General features: G+C 51.4%; 1 protein-coding gene across 1 annotated transcript in view, besides 1 other annotated feature; it reads left to right on the forward strand.

Moving 5' to 3' along the window:
- Positions 1–127: 127 nt before the first annotated feature.
- The window catches only part of TMPRSS9 (transmembrane serine protease 9), a 65,997-nt gene continuing 46,481 nt past the window's right edge, over positions 128–19,643 (forward strand). The window contains exon 1 of the mRNA NM_001395513.1: positions 128–223. The gene's annotated coding sequence lies outside the window, so the exon portion shown is untranslated. The remainder of the gene's footprint in view (positions 224–19,643) is intronic.
- Positions 16,303–16,815: an enhancer, noted in NCBI's record as "H3K4me1 hESC enhancer chr19:2376438-2376950 (GRCh37/hg19 assembly coordinates)". NCBI's record gives its function as "activates a minimal SCP1, AML or CMV promoter by ChIP-STARR-seq in primed H9 embryonic stem cells {active_cell/tissue: H9 hESC(primed)}" and the evidence as "EXISTENCE:reporter gene assay evidence [ECO:0000049][PMID:30033119]".

Consider the following 19,643-nt stretch of genomic DNA (forward strand, 5'->3'; position numbering starts at 1 on the left):
GAAGGGGCTTGGCAGGGGGCCGGGGGAGGGGCGGCTCCCCCACCCGGCCCCGCCCCGCCCCTCCCTTCCTCCAGCCCCGGGCCCAGCTCCGGCTTCTGCTCCACTTCGGGGTGGGCGGGATCCGGGCAGTAGCGGTGCAGCCTCGTCGTCCGGAGCGCGGTGAGTCGGGGTCTCCTGCGGGCTCAGCCTCCCCTCGGAACAGCCCCCACTTCCTCCAACCCCGGTGAGTCGGGGTCTCCTGCGGGCTCAGCCTCCCCTCGGAACAGCCCCCACTTCCTCCAACCCCATTCGCCAAGCCCCGGGGCTGTTTGGTTGCCTCTGGGGCTGTGTAGAGGTGGCGTGGCGGGAGTGTGTAGATGCAGCCAGGCTGTGTAGACACCACCGGGGTTGTGGAGAGGCAGCCGGGGCTGTGTGGACGCCACTGGGGTGTGTAGACATGGCCAGGTTGTGTAGATGCGGCCAGGGTTGTGTGGACTCAGGTGCCGCGTGTAGATGTGGCCGGGGTTGTGTGGACGCAGGTGCGGCGTGTAGATGCGGCAGGGGTTGTGTGGACGCAGGTGTGGTGTGTAGATGCGGCGGGGGTTATGTGGACGCAGGTGTGGCGTGTGGATGCGGCCGGGGTTGTGTGGACTCAGGTGTGGTGTGTAGATGCACGTAGGGTTGTGTGGACGCAGCCGGGATTGTGTGGATGTATCTAGCGTGTGTAGATGTGGCTGAGATTTCTAGACGAGGCCAGGCTGGGTAGATGCCGCCAGGGTGTGTGGACGTAGCCGGGATTGTGTGGATGCAGCTGAGATGTGTAGATACAGCTGGGGTGTGTAGATTCGGCCTAGTTCCTGGAGGGGCCTGGGACCGCCGAAGCCCTCCCCATCCCTGTTCCCACCCAGAGTCCTCCCTTCTTTTCTACCCGTGAACTTCACCTAAAGCAAGAACCAAGCATCAGCCTGGAGCCCTCTGGGGTCAGGGGTGGCGGGAAAGGGGCTGACAGCTACTGGGATGGGGTGCAGGGCTGGGGTGGGAGGTGAGTCTGGGGTGTGGTGCGGGGCTGGGGTGGGAGGCTGGGGTGGGAGGTGGGGCTGGGGTGGGAGGCTGGGGTGGGAGGTGGGGCTGGGGTAGGGTGCAGGGTTGGGATGGGGTGGGGTGCTGGGATGGGTTGGTGGGGTGCAGGGCTGGGATGGGTTGGTGGGGTGGGGTGCGGGGCTGGGATGGGGTGGGAGGTGAGTCTGGGGTGGGAGGGGGGGCTGGGGTGGGAGGCGGGGCTGGAGTGGGTGCCAGGCATCTGACTGGAGCCTCTCCTCCCGCCCCAGTTCTCACCCTCGGAGCCGCTTCTGAGTAAACACACACTGGGATGTAACAATTGGAGGTGGGTGAAGGGCCTGAGATGGGGTGGGTTGTTGGTATTTGCCTGAGGGAGGGTCCTCCTGGATTCAATTAGCCCCGGCAGGAAACCCAGGCTGGGGACCGTGGCGTTATCCCCGCATGACCGGGAATGACCCACATTCTGGGAATTAGGGCGGGGTCCCCAGGACAGGCGTCCGTGCTCGAGGGTCCTCTGTGGCCCAGGGACCTTCGACTTCCTTCCGTCATTTTATAGGGGGTCAAACCAGGCCTCGGACCCAGGCATGGGCTCCAGAGGTTGCCAGAGGTTTTGGGGACTTGCCAAAGGGTTCAGGCACTGCCCCGCAGGACTGCATGGCCGGAAACACCTTGTGGGCCGCGTGGTGGCCACCGCCTTGCAGATCAGGGATGCCCCGCAGGACACCTGTGGTCCTGGCTTCCTGACGCCTTCCTGGGGGCCTGGCTGGGTGGGGCTGTGTGAGATTCTGGGTGAGTTGTCTGTGTGGCTGTGTGTGATTGTGTGTGATCATGTGATTGTGTGTGATGTGTGGTTGTGTGTGGCAATATATATAATTGTGTCTGTAGCTGCATATGGCCATGTGATTTGTGTGTGATTGTGTATTATATGTGTGTGTGGGGTCATGAGTGATCGTTTATGTTGTGTAATTGTGTGATTGTGTATGGTTGTGTGTGGTCATGTGTCATGTCATGCGTGATTGTGTATGGTTGTGTAATTGTGTGGTCGGGTGGGATCGTATATGGTTGTGTGTCGATGGCTGTATAACTGTGTGTATAGTTGTGTGGTCATGTGTGGTTGCGTATAGTTATGTCATGATGTTTGTGTGATTGTATAGGATTGTGTGTGGTTGTGCGAGATTGTGTGACTGTGCAGCCATGTGTGTCATTGTGCCTGTGATTGTGGTGGAGGTGTAATTGTGTGTATGGGTGTGTGACTGCATGTGTGAGACCGTGTATGGTTGTGTGTTGTATGGGAGGTTTCTGCAGCTGTGTGGTTATAGTGTACGGTTGTGTGTGTGATTGCATGATGAGAATTGCATGATTTTGTGGATGGCTTTGTGTGGTTGTGTATGGTTGTATAATTGTGTTTGTGTGTGATTGCATATGATTGTGGCAATATGTGTAATCGTGTCTGTATGACTGTGTATGGTGGAGTTGTGATTGTATCAGTGTATGACTATATGTGTGAAGTTGTGTTTAGCTGTATGGTCATTGTATGTGAGATTTGTGGAGTTGTAACGTGGTTGTGTGTGTACTTGCATGATGAGATTGTGTATAATTTGTGGATGGTGGAGTGAGGTTGTGTGTGGTTGTATGTGGTTGTGTGAGGTGTGTTTTGTGAGGGTGTGTGTGGTTGTGGTGTGTGGTTGTGTGAGGTTGTAATGTGTGGTTGTGTTTGGTTGTGTGAGGTTGTGTGTGGTAATGTGTTGTGTGTGGTTGTGTGTTGTGTGTGTGTTGTGTGAGGTTGTGGTTGTGTGTGCAAATCCCCTCTTCCTAGTCTTCTCATCTGGGGCATGGGGATCAGGGTCCCAGCGCTCAGGCTGGCCTGACCGTGGGGTAATTGGGCCCTGCAGAGCCTCACGCCGCCTGCTTGTCCTGCCACGCGGAATGGGAGTCCGTGTGTGCCCCGCTGCCCACAGCGTGTGAACGTGAGTTGGGGACCATGTGGCCCACTGCGCGCTGGGTCCCGTCCCTAAAGAGCATTCTTGGACTGTCTAAAATTCCCTTTGCAGAATTTGGAATGTTTAGGGTGTAAAATACGGAGCTTGGAGAGTCCTTAGGCAAAAGGTGTTGGTGGCCGGTTGCCCAGGCTGGGGACTCTGTCCGCGGGGCGAGAGCTTGCAGGAACGCTGGAGCATCGGAGTTCAAACCCTGTTGTCACTGTGGTTGGTTAAGGGCTTTGCGGAGACGTGGAGGCATGGTAGATGGATCGCAGGTGAGGGCGGAATGAAGGCAAAGGCGTCCCTTCTCTGATGGCAGACACATGGGTGGAGATTTGAGGTAGGAGCAGTTGTGGGGGGGTGGGGGGACAGGCGAGAGTGTGGGAGGGAGTGAGGTCGCGTGATTCCCCGTGCATCTGTGCGTGCAACTGTGGGTGATGGAGCTGGTGCTTGGGGAGGCAGGACTGGACCCTGGGTGCCGACACTGGGGCAGGGTTTAGAGCTCCCGGCCCTGCGCCCCTCGGTCCCCCAGGCTCACCTGGCTTAGCTGGGGAGCAGGGTTCTCGGGGAGCATAACAGGGAAGCTGCCCAGCAATGTGGAGGAGTCACTAGAATTCCAAGAACTCTGTGTGTGAGTGTGTGTGTGTGTGCGTGCGCGCGTGTGTGTGTGAGAGAGAGAGAGAGAGTGAGAGTGGGAGGGAGGGAGGGAGGGAGAGGCAGAGAGAGCCTTAATCTCCTCCTCTGTAAATGGGCATGCTGATATTAGCTGGACCTGTCTCCTGTATACCCTGGGATTATTGGGAGGGCTGGATCAACTCTCATAAGCCTATGAGCCCTACACCAACAGGACGCTGTTGGTATAAGCACATCTCAGCCTCCCGGTAGTCCTGTAGACCCAGCACCTGTAGTCCCAGCTACTCAGGAGGCTGAGATGGGAGGATCGCTTGAGCCCGGGAGTTGGAGGCTGCAGTGAACTGTGATCACACCACTGCACTCCAGCCTGGGTGACGGAGTGAGACCCTGTCTCAAATAAATAAGTGAATGAATGAATGAATGAATGAATGAAAGACGCATAAATAGAAGAAATTTAGAAGCCCAAGAATGAAGCTGAGGCGAACCTTGGGGTTTTATTGAAGTTGATGGTTGACGCAGCCCTGCAGGCTGTTCTAAGCCATTGATGTTTCTGTGTGTTGCTCTGAAATGGATGCAGAGGATAACATATTCTGGGTGATCCACTCATAACTGCATAAGGCTTCCTTTGTTGTTGTTGTTTTGCAGAGATGGGATCTCACTATGTTGATCAGGCTGGTCTTGAATTCCTGGGCTCAAGGAATCCTCCCACCTTGGCCTCCCAAAGTGCTGAGATTACAGGCGGGAGCCACGGCACCCAGCCCTTTGTTGTTTTGTTTACACTTTACCTTTATGAAAAAAAAAATTGGGGGGGATAATTTTAGTTGTGAAGATGGTGCAGAGAGTCCCCGCACACCCACCTTCCACCCAGTGTCCCCTTGCGTTGACACCTTTGACCACAGAACAAAGAGCAAAACTGGGCCGGGAACGGTGGCTCACGCCTGTAATCCCAGCACTTTGGGAGGCTGAGGCGGGCCGATCATGAGGTCAGGAGATCGAGACCATCCTGGCTAACACGCTGAAACCCCATCTCTACTAAAAATACAAAAAAAATTAGCCGGGCCTGGTGGCGGGCGCCTGTAATCTCGGGAGGCTGAAGCAGGAGAATGGCGTGAACCCGGGAGGCAGAGCTTGCAGTGAGCCAGGATCGCGCCACTGCACTCCAGCCTGGGCGACGGAGCGAGACTCCATCTCAAAAAAAAAAAAAAGAGCAAAACTGACGCACGACTGTGGGTGCCACACTCTGTCTTCCCACCAATATTTCTGTTCTACGTTGCAATCCAGGATCCCACATTGCATTTAGGAGCTGTATTAATTTTAAATGATACAACTCATAAGTGATTGGAAGGTTATTTTTTAATCTCTGCGTTTTCCTCTGGGTCCCTTAGTATCACTCATGTTTATCGGCGTCTTCCCTCCCACACGATTACTGACTCCTTTCTCCTCTGTCCACATTATAAAGCTAAAAGAACACAAGATACCATTGCTGCAAATAGTTTTCTCACAAACACCTCTTCCCATGAAAGCCTAACAAAAAGACCATAGACAAAATGAAAAAAAAAAGGAGACCAAGCTTATTAAATTTCCTGTAGGCTTGCTGAGTGATTTATTTCATGATGTTGGGGCGATGGAGGAGGGGAGGATTTCCTGACTAGATTCAGGCCTGAGGACAGGGGACAGGAAGAAATAAGAGAGGCCATGGCGTAGACAACAGCTGTCTGTTCTATAAACGGGCTTTGGCTGCCGTGGGACCAAAGATGCGGAATCGAATGGGATGGACGTGTCCGAAAACTGTGATCATCTTGGATTAGGTGAAGGAAAAAACAAACAAACAAACAAAAAAAACAAAAAAACTACACAGACAGGTGGGCAAGACAGCTAAAGAGCCCAGACCGAGGCTGGGGGCATGATGGTGCAGGCTTGTAGTCCCAGCTATTTGGGAGGCTGAGGCAGGAGGATCACTTGAGCACAGGAAGTTGAGACCAGCTGGGCAACATAGCAAGACCCCATCTGTACAAAAACTAAAAAAATGAGCCAGGCATGGTGGTGTGCACCCATAGCCCCAACTATTTAGGAAGCTGAGGTGGGAGGATTGCTTCAACCCAGGAGTTGGAGGCTGCAGTGAGCTGTGATAACACCACTGCACTCCAGCCTGGGTGATAGAGTGAGATTCTGTCTCAAAATAAATAAATAAATAATTTTAAAAAAGAGATGGAGAAAGAGAAGAGAAGAAATTTAGAAGCTCAAGAATGAAGCTGAGGTGAACCTTTGGGTTTTATTGAAACTGCTTGGAAAAAAAGGGAACCCCCTGAATTTCTCCTTGGAGAGGTTGAACCATGGTTTTGAGCAACTAGAAAACATTGGCCATTAAAAGCAGAGAGTGAGACCCTGTCTCTACCAAAAATTTAAAAAATTAGCCGGGTGTGGTGGTGCACACCTGTAGTCCTAGCTACTCAGGCGGCCGAGGTGGGAGGATTGCTTGAGTCCAGGAGGTTGAGGCTTCAGTGAGCTGTGATAGCATCAGTGCACTCCAGCCTGGGTGACAGAGTGAAACCCTATCTCAAAAACCAAAAAAGTAAATAAGGAACACCAGACAGAAGAGCCCTGGGACCTGCCGTCCTGTGTATTAGTTTTTGGTTACTGCATAACAAATGTCTCTCAAATTTAGCCAATTAAAACAACAGACATTTATTCTGTCACAGTTTCTGTGGGCCAAGGATTTGGGAGTGATTTATCTGGGTGGTTCTGGCCCATGGTCTCTCATGAGGTTGCAGTTAAGACATGGGCCAGGGGCTGGGTGCGGTGGCTCACGCCTGTAATCCCAGCACTTTGGGAGGCTGAGGAGGGCAGATCACAAGGTCAGGAGATCAAGACCATCCTGGCTAACACGATGAAACCCCACCTCTACTAAAAATACAAAAAATTAGCCGGGCGTGGTGGCGGGCACCTGTAGTCCCAGCTACTCAGGAGGCGGAGGCAGGAGAATGGCGTGAACCCAGGAGGTGGAGCTTGCAGTGAGCCAAGATTGCGCCACTGCACTCCAGCCTGGGCGACAGAGCGAGACTCCATTTCAAAAAAAAAAAAAAAAAAAAGACATGGGCCAGGGCTGCCTCATCTGAAAGCTCGTCTGGGCCTGGAAGAGCCACTTCAAAGCTGGTGTCCTCATGTGGCTGTTGGTGGGAGGCCTCAGTTCCTCACCACATGGGAATCACCATAGTGCTGCTCGAGCATCCTGACAACATGGCTGCTTGCTTCCCCCAGGGCTGGTGATTCAAGGGAGAGAAAGAACAAAGCCATAGTGCTTCTATGATCTAACCTCAGAAGCCTAGATCCATTGCTTCTGGTATATTCTATTCATTACAAGTGAGTCAATAAGTCCAACACACACTCGGAGAGGGAAATTAGGCTCTGCTAGGTGAGGATAGCAAATAATTTTTGGAGATATTTAAAAACCACCACATCTATAACCTTGGGCAAGTTACCTAACTCTTCGGTGCCTCCAATTCATCTTTGGTCAGAATAGAACCAGTCTCATAGGAGAAATGTGGCAATAAATGAGATGATGACTGTAAATATTGTTTAATACAACACCTGTCACATAGAAAATGCTTATGTACTTTTTTTTTTCAAGATGGAGTCTTGCTCCATTGCCCAGGCTGGAGTGCAGTGGTGGAAACTTGGCTCCCTGCAACCTCTGCCTCCTGGGTTCAAGTGATTCTCCTGCCTCAGCCTCCCAAGTAGCTGGGATTACAGGTGTGCACCACCATGACTGGCTAATTTTTTTTTTTTTTTTTTTTGAGAGGGAGTCTTGCTCCGTCGCCCAGGCTAGAATTCAGTGGCACGATCTCAGCTCACTGCAAGTTCTGCCTCCCGGGTTGACACCATTCTCCTGCCTCAGCCTCCCAAGTAGCTGGGACTACAGTCACCTGCCACCATGCCTGGCTAATTTTTTGTATTTTTAGTAGAGATGGGGTTTCACTGTGTTAGCCAGGCTGGTCTTGAACTCTTGACCTCAGGTGATCCACCCACCTTGGCCTCCCAAAGTGCTGGGATTACAGGCATGAGCCACTGCACCCAGCCCATGACTGGCTAATTTTTGTATTTTTAGTAGAGACAGGGTTTTACCATGTTGGCCAGGCTGGTCTCGAACTCTGGATCTCAAGTGATCCACCTGCCTCAGCTTCCCAAAATGTTGGGATTATAGGCATGAGCCACCATGCCTGGCTTTATCCACTTACTTTTATTAAAGGTATATTTTTCAGTGTTACAGCTCTTGAGGAATGATGTGCCAGCTATAGTTATCAAATTGTAACTCTCTGGATTTGTGGGGCCGGAGAGGCAGAGGGAAATAACTTGCTCTTTCAGGAGGCATTAGGCTACGGAACGGAGAGACTGCACATGGCGGCTGCGTTTTTCCTGGCTCCCCTTTTCCAATGGTTAAGGGAAGACAAATGGGAATTAAGCAGTTCCAGGCTCTGCATGTGGCAGAAACCATCCTACCATCTACTCCCATGGGTGCAGTTTGCAAAATTTGAGAGACCAAAAAAAAAAAAAAAGCAGAGAATGTGAAGGGCACATTAGGGTATAGCTGAGGATGTCAGGCAGGAGACACAGCCTGTGCCTTTGAAGGCACTGAGGCTGGACCATGCTGTGCATGTTTGGGGATCGGCGAGGAGGCCAGTGAAGCTGGGGCTGAAGGAGGGAGGGGTTGGAGATGAGGACAGTTAGACCCGGTCGCTGTGGGGAGGTTTGGGCAGAGGTGGGATGTCACCTGACGCGGGTCTTAGCTGTCTCCCTGAGGCTTCCCGTTGAGAATAGACCCAGGGAGGGGAAGATGGAAGTGGCATTTTGTGAGCCTGGGCGATGCCCTGCTTAGACCAGGCTAGACATGGCGTAGGGGCCCAATTCTAGAGCTACCCTGCAGACGGTCTGACAACGTTTTTGGATGGACTGGGTTTGGGATGTGCCAGGGCATCAAGGATAAACCCAGTTTTTTTTTTTTTTTTTTTTTTTTTTTAAAGACAGAGTCTCACTCTGTCGCCCAGGCTGGAGCACAGTGGCGCAATCTCAGCTCACTGCAACCTCCGCCTCCTGGGCTCAAGCAATTCTCCTGCCTCAGCCTCCTGAGTAGCTGGGATTACAGGTGTACGCCACCATGCCCGGCTAATTCTTTTTTTTTTTTTTGAGACAGAGTTTTGCTCTCATTGTCCAGGCTGTAGTGCAAAGGTGTGATCTCGGCTCACTGTAACCTCCACCTCCCGGGTTCAAGTGATTCTCCTGCCTCAGCCTCCAGAGTAACTGGGATTACAGGCGCCCACCACCACACCCAGCTAATTTTGTATTTTTAGTACAGATGGGGTTTCACCATGTTGGCCATGCTGGTCTCAAACTCCTGACTTCAGGTGATCCACCCATCTCCCAAAGTGATGGGATTACAGGCGTGAGCCACTGTGCCCGGCCAAACCCAGGTTTTAAAAAAAATTTTTTTGTACCTGGGTGAGTACGAAAGTGGAGCTGCTGTCTGAGCTGAGAAGACTGTGGGAGGAGCAGGCATTTTTGTGAAGAGGAGACTGAGGAGGGATATGAGAGCTCAGTTTGGTCAGTGTCAAATTTAAGAAGCCTGTTAATGATTGTATTAGCTTTTGTTTGTTTAAGACAGGGTCTTGCTCTGTCACCCTCACCCAGGCTGCAGTGTAGTGGCTTGATCGCAGCTCACTGCAGCCTCAACCTCCTGGGCTCAAGTGATCTTCCTGCCTCAGCCTCCCAAGTAGCTGGGACTACAGGTGTGTGCTACCACCCTGGCTAATTTGTAATTTTTTTTTTTTTTTTTTTTTTTTAGAGATGGGATCTCATTATGTTGCCTACACTGATCTCAAAGTCCTGGGCTCAAGCGATCCTCCTGCCACAGCCTCCAAAAGTGCTGGGATTACAGACCTGAGCCACTGCACCTGGCCTAGTTTTCTGCAAATTACCACAAATGTAGCAACTTGAAACACCTCCTGTTTACTGTCTCATGGTTTTGTGGTTTCTGTGGGTTGGGTGGCTGGGCATGGTTTGGCTGGATCCTCTGCTCAGGGTCTGACAAGACTGCAGTCAGAGTGTTGGCTGGGCTGTGGTCTCATCAGAAACTCAACTGGGGATGCCCAAATGCAGTGGCTCATGCCTGTAATCCCAGCACTTTGGGAGGCCAAGGCTGGCAGGTCACTTGAGGTCAGGAGTTCAAGACCAGCCTGGGCAATATAGCGAAACCCCTTCTCTACTGAAAATACAAAAATTAGCCGGGCATGATGGCGGGCACCAGTGTAATCCCAGCTACTTGGGAGGCTGAGGCAGGAAATCACGTGAACCCAGGAGGCAGAGATTGCATTGAGCTGATATTGTGCCACTGCACTCTAGCCTGGGTGACAAGAGACTTCATTTCAAAAAAATATATACACATCCTGGCTAACACGGTGAAACCCTGTCTCTACTAAAAATAACAAAAAAATTAGCCAGGCACAGTGGCGGGAGCCTGTAGTCCCAGATACTCAGGAGGCTGAGGCAGGAGAATGGTGTGAACCTGGGAGGTGGAGCTTGCAGTGAGCCAAGATCACGCCACTGCACTCCAGCCTGGGTGATAGAGTGAGACTCTGTCTCAAAAAAAAAAAAAAAAAAAAAGTGGGTAGGTTGGCCAGATGTCCCAGGTTGCAGGCTACACCATGCCTGGCTCATTATTTTTATTTTTTGTGGAGATGGGGGTCTCGCTATGTTCCTCAGGCTGGTCTCAACCCCTGGCCTCAAGTGATCCTCCCTCCTTGGCCTCCCAAGGTGCTGGGATTACAGGCGTGAGCCACCACGCCCAGCCAGAAACTTGGGTTTAAAATGGACTTTGCATTATAATGAGATGGGTAATTCACCCAGGATGAATCCAGCCTTCAGCTTTTGCTTTCTTTTGCTTTTGCTTTCTCTCTCTGTCTCTCTTTATATATATATTGCCCAGACTGGACAACATTGCAAGACCTCGTCTCTACAAAAACTTAAAAAAAAAATTAACCCAGCGTGGTGGCATGCATTTGTAGTCCCATCTACTCGGGAGGCTGAGGCAGGAGGATCCCTTGAGCCCAAGAGTTCAAGGCTGCAGTGAGCCGAGATCATAACACTGTACTTCAGCCTGGGTGACAGAGCCAGACCCTATCTCAAAAAGAAAAAAATGCATGACAATATTATGTATCTTGATGACCGAGGTTTTTGGAACTCACTTTAATTTTTCTCCCAGGGCCAATACCTACCTCCTGTCACCCTACTCCCTGGCCCCGGATGTCCTCTGCGAAGGCTCTGAGCCCACAGCTCACTCCTGTTTGAAAACAGACACTGGCAGGTCTCAGAGTGGCATTAAGGACACGCTGGCCCTAAACCAAGACTCTCCCCAGCTGGCCTCATCTGGAGGCTGGAAACAGACATTGCTATTGCCTCGTTCACAGTCGCTCACTCGTTCACAGTCACTCGTGGCTCTGCTAACAAAGTCCTTGCCTAGTCCCTCCTTGGGGGCCCCCACACGGCTCCAGATGGTTCCTGACAGATGAAGACGGAAGTCGGTAGGTTGGCCAGATGTCCCAGGTTCCAGGTTAAAACTGGAATAGCTGCCGGGCGCAGCGGCTCACGCCTGTAATCCCAGCACTTTGGGAGGCTGAGGCAGGCGGATTGCCTGAGTTCAGGTGTTTGTGACTACCCTGGGTGACACAGCAAAACCCTGTCTCTACTAAAATACAAAAGAAAAAAAAAATTTAGCTGGATGTGGTGACGGGCACCTATAATCTCCGCTACCTGGGAGGCTGAGGCAGGAGAATCGGTTGAACCCAGGAGGTGGAGGTTGCAGCGAGCCAACATCGTGCCACTGCACTCCAGCCTGGCGACAGAGCAAGACTCCGTCTCAAAAACAACAAAACCAAGAAAAAAAAAAAACAAAACTAGAATAGCCTTGAGCAAACCAGGGCCAGGACAACTGGTCACCCCAAAGCAAACTGACTCACTGGGTGACAGGGACTCTCACCCCATCACCACCGCGTTGGGATGAGTCGGACTTCCTGCCTCCCGCCTGGGCCAGAGGATGCCGAGAGAGTGGCGTCTGTTGGGCTGGAGGCTGGTCGAGCCACAGGCTCAATTTGGAGACATCAATGCTGATGGTTCATGATTTTGGTGCGATCTCGGCTCACTGCAACCTCCGTCTCCCGGGTTCAAGCTGGGATTATAGGCGCCCGCCACCATGCCCGGCTAAATTTTATATTTTTAGTAGATGGGGGCCAGGCTGGTCTCAAACTCTTGACCTCAAGTGATCCGCCTGCCTTGACCTCCCAAAGTCTGGGATTACAGGCGTGAGCCACTGTGCCTGGCCCCTTCTTTTTTCTTCCCTGTATCTTGGTGCGCAGTTCAGATCTGAGATCCCACGTCCATTCTTCTCGAAGCTTTTTCCTGTCACGCAGGCGGGCGAGTCTCCTCCTACTGATCTCTTTGGTTTTACAGCTACACACTTTTCTTTTTGGTTTGCCTGGGGGCATTCTCACATATCTCTCAAACCCGGCCAGTAACACCCTCCTACGTTGCTTTAAAAAAAAAATAAATGATGCCTCTTCTTGTCAAGGGCTTCCTCCCACCTCAAGGTCACCTGTCAACCTCCATGCCCACTCTTGTTTCTCGAAATGGGCTATCTTCCCTCCTTCTACCTGTGTATTTCATTCTCTCCCACCCCCAGTCTTTGGAAAAAAAGATAATAAAACTCTAGAAGATATTTTTACTCTGAGATTAGCAGTGTGAAGGACCTTCCAGAACCTTCTCTCTCTGCCTTTCTCTGAATTAAAACGCTCGCTTGTCTGAGACCGGCTGTCTCCATTGCATCTGAGTGATAAGAGAAAGATTCATTGAAACAGGCAGGTTTTATTTTTGGTCTGTCCAGCACTAAATGATTTTCTTTTGGCTGACTTATTTTTTTTTAACTCTAAACAGACTTTGCAGCTTAGTAAGAATTTATTTCAATTTAGAAATATGGGTGTTCTAAACTTTTTTTAAATTAAAAAAATTTATTTTTTCCTGAGACAAAGTCTTGCTCTATCACCCATGCTGGAGTGCAGTGGCACAATCATAGTTCACTTCAGCCTTGACCTCGTGGGGACAAGTGATCTTCCTGCCTCAGCCTCCAAAGTAGCTGGAACCACAGGCGTGCACCACCACCCCTGGCTAATTATTTTTATTTTTTGTGGAGATGGGGGTCTCGCCATGTTGCTCAGGCTGGTCTCAACCCCTGGCCTCAAGTGATCCTCCCTCCTTGGCCTCCCAAGGTGCTGGGATTACAGGCATGAGCCACTGCGCCCAGCCAGAAACTTGGGTTTAAAATGGACTTTGCATTATAATGAGATGGGTAATTCACCCAGGATGAATCCAGCCTTCAGCTTTTGCTTTCTTTTTTTATTTTTATATATTTATTGATTTTTGAGACACAGTCTCACTCTGTCGCCCAGGCCGGAGTGCAATGGAGCAATCTGGGCTCACTTCAACCTCTGCCTCCCGGGTTCAAGTGATTCTCATGCCTCAGCCTCCCAAGTAGCTGGGATTACAGGCACGCCACCACACTTGGCTAATTTTTTGTATTTTTAGTAGAGATAGGGTTTTGTGATGTTGGCCAGGCTGGTCTCAAACGCCTGGCCTCAAGGGATCCTCCCACTTTGGCCTCCCAAAGTGCTGGGATTACAGGCGTGTACCACCATGCCCAGCTAATTTTTGCATTTTTAGTAGAGACGGGGTTTCGCCGTGTTGGCCAGGGTGGTCTCGAACTCCTGACCTCAGGTGATCCACCCACCTCGGCCTCCCAAAGTGCTGGGATTACAGGCATGCACCACCATGCCCAGCTAATATTCGTATTTTTAGTAGAGACGGGGTTTCGCCATGTTGGCCAGGCTGGTCTCGAACTCCTGGCCTCAAGCGATCCACCCGCCTCAGCCTCTTAAGGCGCTGGGATTACAGGCATGAGCCACAGTGCCCGGCCAACTTTTGCTTTCTTTGCCGTACACGTGGCCTAGGGAGGTTGCAGCTTGGAGGTTTTCAGCCAACTTTTTGCGAAACTAATACACACCATGCTGATTTATTCTTTAGGAAACTTGTCAGCTTTTCACTGAAGCAACAAATGCTTTTGTCTGTACCAACTATTTGCAAAGTGCTTTACAGGGAGATCTGAGCAAGGCAGAGAGGTAAAGAAGGCTCGTGTCTATCCTTGAGGAGTTGAGAGGAGTCTAGAAGTTTCTGTACATTGGGCAAATCTGGGCAGTGCTTTATAACATTTTCCCGAGCTACAGAGCTCTGACCCCTCCGCGGCTTCACTGCTTTTCAAGCTATTACATCAGCACCAAAGATTCCTTTTTCTTGTATTCACGGTGACAAGGAGAGGCTCAAAGTCCTGCCTGTCCATTAATTTCATGCTGATTTCTCTCAACAATCTTTTTTTTTTTTTTTTTTTTTTTTTTTTTTTTTTTTTAAAGAGGTAGGGCGCGGTGGCTCACGCCTGTAATCCCCGCACTTTGGGAGGCCGAGGCCGGTGGATCACCTGAGGTCAGGAGTTCGAGACCACCCTGACCAATATGGTGAAACCCCGTCTCTACTAAAAAATACAAAAATTAGCTGGGTGTGGTGGTGGGCGCCTGTAGTCCCAGCTACTTGGGAGACTGAGGCTAGAGGATTGCTTGAACCTGGGAGGCGGAGGTTGCAGTGAGCCGAGATCGCGCCACTGCACTCCAGCCTGGAGACAGAGCGAGACTCCGTCTCAAAAAAAGAAAAAAAAGAAAACAAAAACACCCCTCAAAAACAGGGTCTTTGTTTGAGACCCTGTTGGAGGCCTCTGCGTTGCTCTGGTTGTCTCTGGGGAGCCCCTAACCAGGCTTGGAAGAGGTTCTTGGAGGAAGGTTTCTCCTCTGACCACCGGCTGGCTCTGGCCCCTTACCCACGAGCCTCTGTGGCCTTGGTGAGGTGGGCGCCGAGTGCATACGGTGGATAAGCCTGATGTTGTGTTGATTGTATTGTGTTCTTCTCCAGACAGCAGCAAAGGAGGGGAAGAGCGTTTCCTTTAGGGACCATCCCTGTAGAAGTTCCTGCTCTCCGCTTCGGTTTGTTCACAAACTACATATCCTGGCACCAGGGGGCACAGAACTTGGCTCCACGACGAAACAGGTCCCGTGGAGGAGCTGGTGCTGGGCGGGGCTGCGCCTGACTCACTCTGGTGTCTGCTGAGGTCCTTCCCTGGTGGAGACTCCTGCCTCCAACTCTATCCCCTTTTGGTCTCTTCCTCCACGGCACTGACCTCATCCTTTCCTTCTGTTGGCCACCAAGATGGAGGCCAATGGCCCCACGTCTACACGTGGCAGTTTAGGAGCCCCACTGGGAAGAAGGCGTCTCCGTCCCTGCTTCTGTGAGTTGAACCATAAGAAACTGATCTTGTTCTATAGACTTTGGTCTTAAAAAGTGACAGTTTTATAAAGTTGAAACTCAAGGATCCAAAAGAACTTGGTGTCCTGCTTGGGTCATATGCAACCTCTTGGGTCCATCACTGATGGGGATGGAGGGGTGGGCCCTGTGATTGCTAGGTCAGGGTCTAGTGTGGACCAATCACTGATGGGGATGGAGGGGTAGGCACTGTGATTGCCAGGTCAGGGTCCAGTGCGGACCAATCACTGATGGGGGATGGAGGGGTGGGAACTGTGATTGGCAGGCCAGGGTCCAGTGTGGACCAATCACTGATGGGGATGGAGGGGTGGGAACTGTGATTGGCAGGCCAGGGTCCAGTGTGGACCAATCACTGGCTGGAGATGGAAGGGTGGAAGCTGTGATTGGCAGGCTTGTGTTCAGTATGGACCAATCATCACTGATGGGGAGAGGGAGTAAACACTGTGATTGGCAGACCTGGTGGCTAGCACCATGATCGACCACCCCACCAGGACAGCAGGGATGAGGTGGACCTTCATTGAAGAAAGGGATGCTGGGCAGACAAAAAACACATACCCTAGAAAATTACAACTGAAGGGACAAAGCAGATCAACGACCTGGGGAAACTGAGGCCTGGAGAATTTCATTGCCTTGCTGGGACTCCTGGAAGTCTCAGGATGAGTGAGGATCTGGATATTATGAGTTGGGCAGCTCCCATTTGCAGGGTGTTCCTCCTGTAAAGATGCCAGATGCCCAGTAAACCATTCGGCTCTCTCCGAAGTCAGCATCGAGTAGCATTGTCCCCAGGGAGCGTGTGTTGGCTTCCTGGTGCTGCTGGAACAAGATGGGCCTCCCTGGGCCAAAGTCAAGGTGTGGGCAGGGCTGGTCCCTCCTGGGGGCTCCAGGCGAGAATGTGTTCCCGCCTTTCCCAGCGTCTAGAGGCACCCACATCCCTTGCTCGGGGCCCCTTCCTCTCCCTTCACAGCCACAGCGCAGCACAGCCTCTTCCAGTCTCCCTGACCCTCACCCTCCCACCTCCTCTCATGAGAACACTGTGGGGATATGAGGCCCGCCAGATCATCAGGATTATCTCCCATCTCCATGCCCTTCACTCAGTCCCACTTGCAGAGTCGCTTTGGCCATGGAAGGCACCACATTTACAGATTCTGGGGATTAGGACCTGGATGTCAGAGTTATTATTCTGTGGCCACAGGACCGACCTGAGATGTCATTTCTTTTTTTTTTCTTTTTGAGATAGAGTCTTGTTCTGTTGCCCAGGCTGAAGTGCAGTGGCACGACCTTGGCTCACTGCAACCTCTGCCTCCCAGGTTCAAGCGATTCTTCTGCCTCAGCCTCTCGAGTAGCTGGGATTACAGGCATGTGCCCCCACGCCCGGCTAATTTTTGTATTTTTAGTAGAGATGGGGTTTCACCATGTTGGCCAGGCTGATCTCAAACTGACCTCAAATGATCCGCTCTCCTTGGCCTCCCAAAGTGCTGGGATTACAGGCATGAGTCGCTGTGTCCAGCCCCAAGATGCATTTCTAGGAACGTACCCAGAGACACTGTCAGATTCTCTGTACCAAGGAGTCAAGGCTCTTTCTGACCTTTGCTTGGTTCAAAGGAAGATTCTGCCGCCTGATTTCTGCCTGCTCTCCACCCGGCCTGCCAGCTGCCAGGATGCAATTTCTCTGGCCTCCAAGGAAGGCCAGGCAGGGTCGCGCCGGGGCAGAGGCACACCAGCGCGTGTCTGGCCCAGTGTGCCCAGAACCCGAGAAACTGGAGTGGCCACGGGTGGGCGGCTCCCTCACGCTGGCTTCTCCTGAGTCCCTTTCTGTTCACAGATCCCCACTCCTGGCTATCCGCATGCTGGTCATTTCTGCTTGGAGACAGTTCAGGTGTGTCCCACAGTTGCTGTCCCTGGGGCTCTTGGCTCTATTGTTAATGGCCACCGGCTGTGACGGCTCACATTTCAGTCCTGCATATGTCAGTTCCTCGTACTTTCTTTCTTTTTTTACTGTATGTATGTATGTATGTATGTATGTATGTATGTATGTATGTATGTATATATGTATGTATGTATGTATGTATTTGAGATGGGGTCTCACTGTGTTGCCCAGGCTGGTCTCAACATCATGGGCTCAAGCAGTCCTTCTGCCTCAGCCTCCCAAAGTGCTGGTATTACAGGCATGAGCCACCACACCTGGTCTTCCTTTCTTTCCTTCTCCCCTCCCCTCTCCCCTCTCCCCTCTCCTCTCTCCCCCCCACCCCTCTCCCCTTCCCCCTCCCCTCACCTTCCCTTCCCCTCTCCCCTCTCCCCTCCCCTCTCCCCTCTCTCCCCTCTCCTCTCCCCTCTCTCCCCTCTCCTCCCCCTCCCCTACCCCTACCCCTTCCCCTACCCCCCTGCCCTCCCCTCTCCCCTCCCCTCTCCCCTCCCCCTCCCTCTCTCCCTTCCTTCCTTCTTTCCTTCCTTCCTTCCTTCTCTCTCTCTCTCTTTATTTTTTTCTGAGACAAGGTCTCACTGTCACCCAGGCTGGAGTGCAGTGGTGTGATCATAACTCACTGCAGCCTCGACCTTCCAGGCTCAAGTGATCCTCCTGCCTCAGCCTCCTGAGTGGCTGGGACTACAGATATGTGCCACTATGCCTGGCTAATTTTTACAATTTTTTTGCAGAGACAGGGTCTCCCTCTGCCACCCAGGCTGGCACAGTCATAGCTCACTGCAGCTTCGATCTCCTGGGCTCGAGTGATGAACCCTCCCACCTCAGCCTCCTGAGTAGCTGAGACTACTGGCATGCACCACCATGAAAGGTCAATTTTTAAATTTTACATTTCGTAGAGATGGGGTCTCACTATGTTGCCCAGGCTGGTCTCAAACTCCTGGCCTCAAGCAATTCTCTTGCCTTGGTTTCCCAAAGTGTTGGAATGACAGGCATGAGCTGCCACACCTGACCCCCCTTTTCCTTATAAATCACCCAGTCTCAGGTATTTCTTTACAGCAGGACAAAAATAGACTCAGACAACTGTGTTTAGGCATTACTTATAGGGTGACAACTGTCCTGGTTTGATTGGAATTGAGTGGTTTCCTGAGACATGAGACTTTCAGTGCTGAACAGGGACAGTCCTGGGCAAACTGGGACCATTGGTCCCTGTAAGTGTTGACGGGACACTGTGTCAGTCTGTTCTCATGCTGCTAATGAAAGCATACCCAAGGCTGGGTGCAGTGGCTCATGCCTGTAATCCCAGCACTTTGGGAGGCCAAGGTGAGTGGATCACAAGCCCAGGAGTTCAAGACCAGCCTGGCCAATATGGTGAAACCCCATCTCTACTAAAAATACAAAAATTAGCCAGGCATGGTGGTGCACACCTGTAGTCCCAGCTACTTGGGAGGCTGAGGCAGAAGAATTGCTTGAACCTGGGAGGCAGAGGTTGCAGTGAGCCAAGATTGTGCCACTGCACTCCAGCCTGGGGGACAGAGCGAGACTCCGTCTAAAAACAAAACCTACCTGAGACTAGGTAATTTATAAAAGAAAAAGAGTTTTAATTGACTCACAGTTCAGCATGGCTGGGGAGGCCTCAGGAAACTTACAATCATGGCGGAAGGAGGAGCAAACATGTCCTTCTTCACATGGCGGTAGGAGAGAGAAGAATGAAAGCCCAACAAAGGGGAAGCCCCTTATAAAACCATAAGATCTTGTGAGAACTCACTATTATGAGAACAGGATGGGGGAAAGCATCCCCATGATTTAATGATCTCCACCTAGTCCCTCCCATGACACATGGGGATTATGAGAACTACAATTGAAGATGAGATTTGGGTGGGGACACAGCCAAACCATATTAGATACCTGGAGGGAGAAGTCAAGAATGTAGGTGGCAAAACTTTCTAAATGTGCTTGATGTGGAACAGCTCTCCAGCAACGTGTGTCCTAAGACAAAGCCTGAGCTTCTTTCTCTTTTTTTTTTTTTTTTTTTTTTGAGACAGAGTCTTGCTCTGTCGCCCAGGCTGGAGTGCAGTGGCACAATCTCAGCTCACTGCAAGCTCCACCTCCCAGGTTCATGCCATTCTCCTGCCTCAGCCTCCCGAGTAGCTGGGACTACAGGTGCCCGCCACCACGCCTGGCTAATTTTTTGTATTTTTAGTAGAGATGGGGTTTCACTGTGTTAGCCAGGATAGTCTCAATCTCCTGACCTCGTGTTCTGCCCGCCTCGGCCTCCCAAAGTGCTGGGATTACAGGCATGAGCCACCGTGCCCAGCAAGCCTGAGCTTCTGAGTGTGGTGCACAGCAGCCTTCCAGATGGGGCTGTTGGGCCTTCCTGCCTCACCTCTCACAGTTCTCCTACCCCACCCCACACTAGGCCCTGACATTCCCTAAACTAACTTTCTTTCTCTTTCTTTCTTTCTTTCTTTCTTTCTTTCTTTCTTTCTTTCTTTCTTTCTTTCTTTCTTTCTCTTTTTCTTTCTTTCCTTCCTTCCTTCCTCTCTCCCTTCCTCTTTTTCTCTTTCTCTCTCTCTCTCTCTCTCATTCTCTCTTTTCTCTCTTTCTTTCTCTCT

This window comes from Homo sapiens, chromosome 19, assembly GCF_000001405.40.
Source record: "Homo sapiens chromosome 19, GRCh38.p14 Primary Assembly".
NCBI lineage: Eukaryota > Metazoa > Chordata > Mammalia > Primates > Hominidae > Homo > Homo sapiens.